The 12,432-nt window shown below is 37.5% G+C and overlaps 1 protein-coding gene across 14 annotated transcripts in view; it reads right to left on the bottom strand.

Annotated features, from left to right (window-relative positions):
• NRG4 (neuregulin 4) overlaps window positions 1-12,432 on the bottom strand; it is a 124,848-nt gene that overhangs the window by 24,073 nt on the left and 88,343 nt on the right. For all 14 annotated transcript variants that reach the window (XR_007064433.1, XR_007064432.1, XM_047432183.1 and 11 more), the window contains one exon: window positions 2,363-2,509. Coding sequence is in view for 12 of the 14 variants with exons in the window: in XM_047432183.1 (XP_047288139.1) it covers window positions 2,363-2,509 (147 nt within the window). In the remaining 2 variants the exon portion in view is untranslated. The remainder of the gene's footprint in view (window positions 1-2,362; window positions 2,510-12,432) is intronic.

The raw sequence follows: 12,432 nt of genomic DNA on the forward strand, positions 1-12,432 counted from the left end.
TAAATATATAAATAAATATTATCTATTTAATCTATTCATATAAAATAGGAAACAGAGGTCTTGTTCTCTTTCCAGGTTGGAGTGCAGTGGCATAATCACAGCTCACTGCATCTCAAACTCCTGGCCTTGGGGGATCCTCCTGCTTCTGCTTCCCGAGTAGTTGGGAATACAGATGTGTACCACCATGCCCTGCTAATTTTTTTTATTTTTCATTTTGTAGAGACAGGGTCTTGTGATCTTGCCCAGGCTGGTCTCAAACTCCTGGGCTCAAGCAGTCCTCTCACTTGGGAATACAGACATGAGCTACCATGTCCAGCCACCTCTTATAATTGAGGAGGACCATGAAACTCCTGCTGGCTAGTGAGTTATGTCAGTAGTGATGTGTGTCACTTCTGGGACAGATCATTTTAATTTAAGTGTGAGACCTTCCAGAGCTTTCTTTTCCCTTTGTTATGACAACCAGCAACACTCAAGATGGTGGTTGCTCCAACAGTTTGAGTCCTTAAGTGACTATGATTAGTAAAGCCCTGCTTGCCAATCCATACTAATTACCTACAATAAGTGAGAAATAATCTTCTGTTTATTAAGCCACTAAAGTATTAGGGTTGGTAGTTACTGCAGCCAAACTTAGACTATCCTGACTTATTAATGATAATGAATTAAACATAATTCATTAATTAAACACAATTCATTATCCAATCAATAACAGATGGAAACTATATCTCCAAACTGGCACAAGAGTGATTAATGAGGGAAGTAGGTATTGGTCTTCCCCTTAGCATATTAGACTGACAGAATGTTTAGAGGGATAGAATAGATCATTATTCAGCTTTCCAAACATAGATACATTTAAAGTCAAGCATAAACCTAATTCCAAAGATGGGTGTTCTGGTTATCTACTTATGCATAACATACCACCCCAAACTTGGGGGATAAAAAAACTTTATCTCATGATTCTGTGGGTTGACAGCTGGGCATCTTTTGCTTGGGCTCTCTGTGTAGCTGCAGTAAACTGGCAGTTAAGTCAGGAGTCAACTAAAGGTTTGAATGAGCTGAATGCCTGGGATGGCTCATTAAAATGGCCAGCAGTTAAGGCTGGCTGTTGGCTGGAAGTTCAGCTGGAGCTGGTTCTTCCTGCTGTTTAGGCTTCTTACAACATGGCGGCTGATTCTATGAGGCAGCATCCCAAGTAGTCTATGATCAAGGCAGTCACGGTGCCTGCCTAGATTCAAGGAATCTGTAGCAATAAACTCTACCTCTTGATGGATGAGTGGCAAGGTCACACTACAGAAGAGTATGTGGGAATGAGGGATATCATATGGCCATCCCTCGGAAATGCAATCTGATACAATGGGCTTGTATTTAAATTTTTGTATCTGAAGTAGTCAGATGCTAAAATTATGAGAAATAAAATCTACTGGATTGCTTAAATGATATGTTTTGGAATAAACTATTTAATACCACATATTTTTAAAAAGCCAATTTCCTCCAATTTTTAATTATTCCTTGATGTAAAGTAGTTAAGAAATCAGGATCTAACAAGATACTATTTTACCTATATGTTACCTTTCTTAGTATACAAACTTCTCAAGCCCACTTGTCTCTCTTTTATGATTACCTTCAGCTCCATTTTCACAAGTATCTATGATAGAATACAGTGTGAGTTTCATAAATATTAATTAATGATGAGAGTTATGCCAAATAACTCCTGGACTTACTAAATTCTATATTTACTTTTACAAAATTTCAAAAACAATTGAAAATCAAAACGAATGAAAGTAATCTTCAGTGCATAATTGCTTCATGCAAGTAGTTTTTTTTTTTGTCTCTCTTGTGAGTTACCAGTTTCCCCAAATTAATTGCCTTTTTGTCTGTCTCTCCAAATTGATTTAAGTATCTTTGAAGTTGGGAAACATGTCTATTTTGTTCACTATTGTATTCTTTATGCCTAGCACAATAGTGGGCACTAGATAGCTGACCCTGCATATTAACCATATGTCTTAAGCTAACATGTACAGTATTGCGTAAGTTGTTCCTTTTCTTTCACATACAAAATTTACTTTAAATACACCTAACCCAAATATTCAGGTGCTTTTGGCATATTTGCTATAGTGAGTATGGGTTTACCTTAGTAGTTTAGATAAGTCAAGGTAAATATTGACAACAGTAACAAAGAACAAATTGAGACTGCTTATTAAGATTCTTTCAAAAATGAAATTAGTAACAAAAACTGTATTAAAGAGATAACTAAACATAATACAGTATCTGGAAAAATATCTAGAACTAAGGGCATATTAATTATTTAGTGGAATAACTACTTTATGTATTACTTTTCTCAAAAGCATGTTTCTATTTTACTTACCTGCAAAGGAAGTAGAAGGCTCCAATGATAAGTGTTACTAGGACCGCCAATGCCACAAAAGCTTCAAACAGGTTACTTTTAGTTTGGATGCTGGAGCCTGGGAGAAAAACCTCTTCACAACGAGCTCCTGTATAGTTTTCAACGCACCTACAGAATAAAATTTTAGATAAAGAATTGCATTCTGTGTTTCATTAGCTAGTTTGGAAGAAAAACAGTTTCCAGATGACGTGAAGAAAAAAGGAGACTAATTTTCAGATTGTGAACATGGAGTAGACAGGTTTTCCTATAATGCTCACAGATCTACAGTTACAATAAAACAAATGCAAATTTGTTATAATAAAACAATTTTTTACTATCTTCTTTTTCCAGTTTTCCAACTGCTTAGGAACTCCAGATAAATTATAGAGTATTCAGTGTTTTTATCTTGTAGATTTTCAATCATATAAATGTCCACACTTTATCACAAATTGACTTTTTGTTGTATCTGGTATAGATAATGATCTAAATGCATTTTTCCTTAAAACTGCTAACTGGTTATTCCAACCCCATTCATTAAATAATCAATCCATTACCCAGTGTTTAACAGGGCCTCCTTTAACATATGTCAGATTTATATAAATAACAGCATTTATTTCTATTCTTCTTCAATGATCTACACATCTAATCTGGGGCCTTTGCCACACTGCTTCAATACTGTTACTTTATAATATATTTGAATATCTGGTAGTTCTACTCTACTCCTTATTACTTTTATCTATAGAATTTTAAAAATATTCTCCACTGCCAACCAAATATTTTATAGCCAATTACCTGTAGCTCTCTAAAACTATATAACAAAGAACCATAATATTTGGTATTACCAATCATTCCTTTTTCCTTGTTAATATGTTCAAAGGATTATAAAACACAGAGATTGATATAAATTAACAAGAATGACACTGTTTGGCACCAGATCAATTTCAACATAGTAGCATTTAAAATAAAAAACACTTTAATATTAACTAATATACTCAGCAATAATTCTGTGTAAAAAAGTGTATGTGTGTGTAAAACCAGTTTGTTTTAACCAGATTTTGTCAAGAATAAAAAGGTTGATTCTACTAAATTAATTATCTTCCTTATTCCTTTCCAGTTTAGGTAGGTATTTAGAAATTTTATCTCTGTTTCTTCCACCTTAGACTAATAAGGATACAGGCCTAGAAAATCAACATGTGAATTAACTACTAGCTTTGATAACTAATGTGATAGTCTAATAAAGCAGTATACAAACAAATAAGAGAAAAGAACATCAAGATATAGCACAAAGGATCAATTTGAGTTAGATGAGCATATTAAAGATGTTTCATGAACTTCAAGTCCTACTCAATGTGAGGCAGTGATGTGATTGGTGATAGCTTCCCGGGGCGGTATCAGTTAAGCAAAGCGGCAGTCTAGATTCTCCTAAACTACCATAAAGATAAGATTAAGGGGACATAGGGAAAGTAAGGATAGGATATCGGTAGCAAACTTAAATGAAAGTAAAAATATTTTGGAGGGCCAGGCACAGTGACTCACGCCTCTACTCCCAGCACTTTGGGAGGCTGAGGAGAGAGGATCACTTGGGGCCAGGAGTTCAAGATCTATCTGGGCAATACAGTGAGACCTTGTCTTTACAAAAAATTAAAAAATTAGGCCGGGCATGGTGGCTCACGCTTGTAATCCCAGCACTTTGGGAGGCCGAGGCGGGCAGATCACGAGGTCAAGATATTGAGACCATCCTGGCCAACATGGTGAAACCCCATCTCTACTAAAAATACAAAAATTATCTGGGTGTGGTGGTGCACGCCTGTAGTCACAGCTACTCAGGAGGCTGAGGCAAGAGAATTGCTTGAACCTGGGAGGCGGAGGTTGCAGTGAGCTGAGATCGTGCCACTGCACATCCAGCCTGGCAACAGAGCAAGACTCCATCTCAAAAAAAAAAAAAAAAAAAATTAGCCAAGCATGGTTGTACCCGTAGTCCCAGCTACTCTGGAGGCTGAGGTGGGAAGATCGCTTAAGCCTAGGACTTTGAGGTTGCAGTGAGCTATGATCATGCCACTGCAGTCCAGCCTAGGTGACAGAGCAAGACCCTGTCTCAAAAAATATATATACATATATATGTAAATAAAAAATATATATGGTGGGAAACACAATTTATAAATTTTAAATATAAATTACCAATTTTTCCATAGTTTAAGTCAGTTAAATAAGCTGAGGAGAAAAAAGATTAGATGAAAATAATTTGTTTCTTTCTCTTCCAGCTCCAATTCCTGCTTCCCAAAAGGGAAATGGAATAAACACACATAAACACACACACACACACGCACCAATAGAAAGTTGACATAGAGACCACCATCACAATCTATCCATGTGCCATTACAAAATAAACACAGAAGGAAAGGGGCAGCATTCCACAGAGTAAAAGAAACTGGGTGCTAAACGGTTTTCAAAAGTATCTTTAAAATAACAAAAATAAAATAAAACCCTTCTATCATTCCTGTTTTTTTAAATAGAATTAAGTAGGTAACAATTATTTGTGACTGCTAAAGGTTTTTTAAGGAAAAATTTTAGCTGTGAGAGCAATTCCTGTCATACTTTTAAAATAACTCTCAAGTTTTTAAATAATGTTAAAGATAGGGTTCAGTTTCCATTCTAGAAAAAATAACCAGAACCATTGATAAGTAATCCTGAAACGAGATAGTATAATTATTTTTGATAAGGAAGATCTCTTTTAAAAGCTATAAACTCATTACTCAGATTTCTTAAGGCTGTTTGAGTTTAAGTAAGATTGAAATTCAGGCCGGGCACAGTGGCTCATGCCTGTAATCCCAGCACTTTGCGAGGCTGAGGCAGGAGGATGGCTTGAGCCCAGGAGTTTGAGACCAGCCTGGGCAACATGGTAGAGACACCGTCTCTACAAAAAATAACAAAAATTAGCTGGCTGGTGGCCCACGCCTGTAGTCACAACTACTCAGGAGGCTGAGGTGGGAGAATCACTTGAGCCCAGGTCAAGGCATAGTGAGCCCTGATTGCACCACTGCACTCCAGCTAGAGCAACAGAGTGAGAGGCTATTCCAAATAAAAAAAAGAAAAAAAGAGGCCGGACGCAGTGCCTCCCGCCTGTAATCCCAGCAGTTTGGGAGGCCGAGGCGGGTGGATCATGAGGTCAGGAGATCGAGACCATCCTAGCTAACATGGTGAAACCCTGTCTTTACTAAAAATACAAAAAAATTAGCTGGGCATGGTGGCGGGCGCCTGCAGTCCCAGCTACTTGCAGGCTGAGGCAGGAGAATGGCGTGAACCCGGGAGGCGGAGCTTGCAGTGAGCCGAGATCGGGCCACTGCACTCCAGCTTGGGCGACAGGGTGAGACTCTGACTCAAAAAAAAATCAAAGAAAAAAAGATAAGCCAGCTTATATGACCATAAATGTTTTAACTGGACAATAAATACTTTGAGTTGGAAGGAGTCAAGGGAATGGTGTAAATACAAGTTTGTAATCAGATCAGGGTTTATGCAAATAGAAAAAGGCATACAAAGTAAACCAAGCAACACTAGGTTGTTCTATTATCTTACAGCTGGGATAAAGCAATCACATGCTCTTGTGGGAAAGTAGAAACCTGATGGTAATTTTAAGCAAATTCAAAGGATAAACAATCTTATCATTGTTAGGTCAAAACAGAACCTAGGGAAAGGCAAAGACAAATTTAAATATTACATTACTATCCAGGAAGTAGGACTGGCTAACCTAAAAATGAATTTTAAAATTTCAGATATTTACCAAACAAAAAAGTAAACACTGCCTACCAATGACTGTGTACAAGGATTCTACTTTTAAAGCTCTAGCTCATTTATGAAAATGTTATGACTTCATTGATGATACAATTATCAAATTTCAGGCAAACAGAATTAATCGACTCCTTCAAAAGTAAGGGTGGATTAAGTGGATATAGACAACTGGTAGTACTAGCACAGCATTTATACAAAACACAAAGAGGTCATGTTGCACCAGCATTTACCCAGAACTACGTAGCTCTCAGTCTTTATGTAAGTAACTCTCTTGCTAAATTACTTCTGGACCTTACTTCTGCACAAACTGTTTTAGCAAACAGTTGTGCCACCTAATGAGGTGAATACCAAGCAATAAAGGATCACCCATGTTTTCCTGGAATTGAAGATGGATGCTGGAACAGGTACAAATACTCCACTAGGTGAGAAATTCTGAAATTCAGAATCTAAGTTATACAAATTGGTTTTCTGGCTGAATACCACCAATTATCTGCTCCCAAACACAGAAGCTACGTTTAGTACATTGACATGAAATACATTCATTCGATTCTGTGGCATTCAAGGAAGTTGTTACAACATAGGAGACCTTTCACATGAATAAAATAACTCAGTTTTTAGTCATGTAAACAAACAGAGCACCATTTAGCTTCAAGAAACATTACTGGACTGTGAACTGGAAAAAACTGGTTTCTTCACCCTATTTCCATGCTTGTTGGCTATGTGATCTTGGGCAAGTCACTTAAGACTGTGAAATCAAAATAACATCACATGCTTTAACTACATAGGGCTATTGTCAGAATCAAGTAAGAATGTCTAGAGTGCTTTGAACACTGAAACACACTATACAAGTGTGTTTACAAGGAATAAAATAACTAAGAAAAATTATAACTAGAAAAGGTTAAGAGCATGGTGATCAATAAATGTGCTATCATTATTTCTCAGAAAAAAACCCCATGTTTACAATATTATAAAAGACTTCGCTAACCAAAGGGAGATGCAATGTCAGTGCCACTTCACTTGGGCTGGTCTATCCTGGAAAGAGAAAGTCTAATACTGGCATACGTCAAATCTGGCTTCCACCTGATACTCTGTGTCAATCAAAGTTCAATTTGCAACTCATGAAAAATGGAAAAAACAAATCAAAAATGAAACTATTAGAAATGTTCAAGAAAACAACATGGGCTTGGATCCCTTTAATAAGTCAGCTGGGCGCGGTGGCTCACACCTGTAATTCCAGCAATGTGGGAGGCCAAGGTGGGTGGATCACAAGGTCAGGAGTTCAAGACCAGCCTGGCCAAGATGGTGAAACCCCATCTCTACTGAAAATACAAAAATTAGCCAGGCGTGGTGGTAGGCGCCTGTAATCCCAGCTACCCGGGAGGCTGAGGCAGGGAATTGCTTGAATCCGGGAGGCGGAAGTTGCAGTGAGCTGAGATCGCGCCGCTGCACTCCAGCCTGGCAACAGAGCAAGACTCCGTCTCAAAAAAAAAAAAAAAAAAAAAAGTCTACAGCCATATAACAACAAACAAATGTTGCCAAAATCCTATGAAACCCCTACTAGATTTTTATAGGCCGAGAAACAGTGAGAGAAGACTAGCTTGTGACCTTTGCATCTTTTATTAGCTAGTGCTATAAATGTAACTTCATTAAAGCCTCTATTAGATTCTTAATAATATGTAGAGATATTTAGCTAACATTCAATCTCACAAAATTTTTGTTGTTTAACGTCACATTTATATGACATTAGCACCATTAAAAACTGATCATTATTAGTACATCAAATGTATTAGTAAATTTAAGTCCAGTTATGAAGCAAAATCTTAGATTTTTTTTTTTTTTTTTTTTTTGAGATGGAGTCTTGCTTTTGTTGCTCAGGCTGGAGTGGAATGGTGTGATCTCAGCTCACTGCAACCTCTGCCTTCTGAGTTCAAGAGATTCTCCTGCTTCAGCCTCCTGAGTAGCTGGGACCACAGGTGTGCACCACCACACCCAGCTAATTTTTGTATTTTTAGTAGAGACGGGGTTTCACCATGTTGGCCAGGTGGGTCTCGAACTCCTGACCTCAAGTGATCTGCCCACCTCGGCATCCCAAAGTGCTGGGATTACAGGTGTGAGCCAACGTGCCTGGCCGCAAAATCTGATTCTTTTAAGATTGACTGTTACCCAGATAATTTATATGCTGAAATGAACTACAAGTTGTATCTAAATGAACTACATGTTGTGTATAAATAAGTCTTCATAGAGAATAATCCATATTTGTCACTAGGAAGGATATTGTTTATAATTTCATTGTGAAGGACTATAATTTCTTAGCTTAAGTAAGTCATTGAAAATTTGAAACATTTTATTTACTAAAACTAGCTAAGGCACAGTGAATGAAGAAGCATGTCGAACAAATGGTGAGAGTAAGCAACAGTAGTGTAAAAACATGACCCTCATTACTGAGTGTGTGCATTCGCTAGTCTTTTCCAATGGAGACTTTTTGGGAAAAACACCCATAGAATGCTGGTTGGGTCATGAGAGTACTGAGACAAAACTTTATAATTTGTTGATTTTCTTAATGTTGTCTTCTTTCTCCATATTAACAAAATCGAGTCTTTACTCTCCTTACTTTGCTGGCCTCAAAAAACGATCAGGGAGGAAATCTAAAACTGATCTAAAAAATAAAGTCTAAGGCTGGGTGTGGTGGCTCACGCCTGTAATCCCAGCACTTTGGGAGGCTGAGGTGGGCGGATCACGTCAGGTCAGGAGTTCGAGACCATCCTGGCCAACGTGGTGAAACCCCGTCTCTACTAAAAATACAAAAATTAGCTGGGCATGGTGGTGGGTGCCTGTAATTCCAGCTACTCAGGAGGCTGAGGGAGGAGATCATTTGAACCCAGGAGGCAGAGGTTGCAGTGAGCCAAGACTGTGCCACTGCACTCCAGCCTTGGCGATAGAGCGAAACTCCATCTAAAAAAAAAAAAAAAAAAAAAGTCTAGTGCTGGGTGCAGTGGCATGCAGCTGAGTGCGTAATCTCAGTTACTTGGGAGGTTGAGGTGGGTAGATGGCTTGAGGCCAGGAGTTTGAGACCAGCCTGGGCAACATAGCAAGACCCCTGTCTCAAAGCAGACAAAAATAAGTAAATAAAAGTCTATTAAAAAATCAGAAGAAAAAGTAAAACTACAAACAAAAAGTACATATATGTTTTTCTTAGTTTATTATTTTATGATACATATAGACTTGTATATACAAAGTATCTATACATAGAAATTGCTATGTGTCCATTTTTCCTTTAAGTAACAATTTCAATAAATATACAATTATGTTTAAATATTATAAATAATATGTTAATGGGCCTTTCCATTGTAGAAGTGTTTCACTGTCCATGTTTTGGTAAAACTTCAAGGGTTCAAGACCATAAACCAGGAACAGCTGGAAAGACTTACACTCTTAAATCACCAGACACTCAATTAAACCACAGTTCTCAACAGACAGTATTCATGCTGGCATCTTACCTTCCCAGGCTTCAGGTCTCAACAACCTTCTAATGCAGGGAAAATCTCATGCCCAACTTGGAATAAGACAAAGAGAAGCCAGCATCAGTTCACTTCCTGACAAAAGAAGTTAAGTATTAGAGCTGGGCAAAAGTCACAGTTGTTACTCTGCGTGGTATTCCTACATAGAAAATGAACTCTTACTGATGACATAATGGAGTATTTGCCAGCTGCCTTCCAAAGAAAATAATGGATGATAAAGACAGTAATCAAAAGGATAACCAAAATTTGGAAGCAAATGCATAATTTGGTATAACTTCAGTATGCAGCAATAAGAAGAAAATGAAAAATCTTTAGAGTATACGTTGCCTTTCATTAGCCTTCAGCTTCTTTGAACAGTAAACCTGAGTTAGTTCTGAAAGGTAGTTTCTATTCTTGGATATGTGACACAAATCAGTAAGACAAACTCAGGTAAAGAGAAGTAGACCTAAGAGAGCAGGTACGTTCCCATAGTTTCATCACCATATCCTGCCATGTGTGCTTACTGTAAGAACAGTGATCTGGCAAAATGTGAGGGTTAAATAAAATTTATACTCTTTTAAAGTTTCGTTCTAAGCATGGTGAGGTCAAGAAAGATGTATCAGTTGTTACTGCTGAGAACACTAATGAAGAATCTTTTTCAGAAGTAAGGTTACTAAAATAAAAAGTGTTAACAAAATGCATAGCTAAACAGAGGAGTTGTTTTATGCATTTTAAACTGTTCTTTTATTATAAGCTTCAAGGCTGCTATTTCCATTCTTAAGGTGTTTCTAAAGATCAATCTAATTCTTGATGTTTAAAAGCATATGGTATGGTGCCAAAAGTCAAAGTAAAGAGGACTTTGTTTTAATTAATATTGCAGAGGCATTCTGAACTTTTTTCTTTGAACTACAACCTTCTACTAAATTTACAGATGAAAATGCAGAACTCTTATCTAATAAGAGTGCCACGAGCCAGTCTATCTTAACCATTTGATCTTAAGAAAGCCTTAAAAATTTCTGGGGTTAATAAAACAATTCATAAAATCCTGACAACTCCTTTTGAAAAGTGAGTTTAGTGAAACACATAGCAAGGTCCAGCAAAATTGCTGAGAGACCAAAATACAATTGAGACAACACGTCCAATGAAGAAGCACAATAAATGTTGGTTTTCAAATTATAAGTGAAACTCAACCTTTATCATTTTACTTTCATATAACTAGCTTTTCATATATTCTATGTTTGTACTCCTAAACTGCTTCTCTTAAATAGATTTCAGTCTTTGTTTTATCACCTGACAAATGATAATTCCACCTATCGAAGACTGGGGGTGCTACTATTGTGGACAGGGTACAGAGCTGGGCCTTGGCCTAGGCAGCAGGGACCGTCCCAGGTCTGAGCCTGTGGCTCTATGGGCAGTTACTGGTTGGGAATGACCCTCAGGGAGGGCCCTGGTGAAACCAGACCTTACCAGGTCACTCTCGATAATTATTCCAATGGTAATTCTTTGCCAAGTTAAACCTTCTCCCATCAGAGTCCCACCTCCACACTGTGCAATGTTTGGCTCTGAAGTGATCCTCTGGATGGGTCACAAGATGCATGGAGGAAAGTGAGACAGCAAGAAAAGGCCTCACCTAGCTAAGGATGCAGGGATAGGTGAAGACAAACTCCTTGCCCCCATGCTTGCTCAAAGAATCTCGTAAGTTCCAGCTGAAATGTTGAAAGATTAGGGCCTGGCTGACCTTGTGTCTAAGTGGGCCAAGAAGTCAAGGATTGCTTCCTGGATTGTTCTCCAGAGAAAGACTGAAGCAGACAATAGAAAAAGATGACCAGGTGTCCTGTCAAATGCACCTTTCTGGGTTATCTGATTCTATAAATACCTGTGATTTTCATTGTCTTCGAGCTATTTTACAACTCTGTAAATTGTAGAAAACTTATGCTAATGCAAATGAATTTTGTCCAGTATAATAAAACAGATTGCCCTGTGGATACCGACTAGTTTCATACCTATTTGTAAATTCATTTCAACATGTTTGATTACCTGTACATATGTGTGTGGTTTGAATTCTCCTTTAAGCCAGTTGTGACATCTATTGGTTCCCTCATTAATCAGTTCCTCATTAACTGTAAAAACAATAAGGGTTTTGGTTTTACAGTTTGACCATCTCATGATCTCTGTAGAAGGTGATATAGATCTATCCCTATTGGGTGAGATGACAGAGACTCTGGTTATACTTAAAAAAAAATTTGTCTATTTTCTTTAAGCTCAAATCAATTAAAATGTTATGCCCACTGGGAAGGAGAACACCTCTTTGATTTTGGACCAGAGAGATTTTGTGTTTCTGTGTTTACTCTTGACTTGTGCCTAACTTGTAGACATGAAGCTGTAAGCTCTGTCTCTATGTGTCCAAAATTCAGAAAGGCCTTTCCCTCTCATTATGTGAGATATAATATCCTATCTATAGAGGATATTATTACAGTATAATGTCTCTTAAATTCAAGGAGCTCTGTTCTTATTGACTTACAGAGATAAGTAAGTTCTTATGTAATTTGAATATTCTTAAAATTCCCAGAAAAAGGAAATTGGACTTCTAGTGCTTTAAAGGTGCTAAACTCAAATTCTTCTCACCAAAACTAAGAAACATTTAAAAAAAATCTAAGTTCATAATAAGAGTAAAATTGTGAACAGTGCCACAATAAACATACGTGTGCACGTGCCTTTATAGTAGAATGATTTATAATCCTTTGGCTATATACCCAGTAATGGGATTGC

This window comes from Homo sapiens, chromosome 15 (assembly GCF_000001405.40).
Source record: "Homo sapiens chromosome 15, GRCh38.p14 Primary Assembly".
NCBI classification, from domain to species: domain Eukaryota; kingdom Metazoa; phylum Chordata; class Mammalia; order Primates; family Hominidae; genus Homo; species Homo sapiens.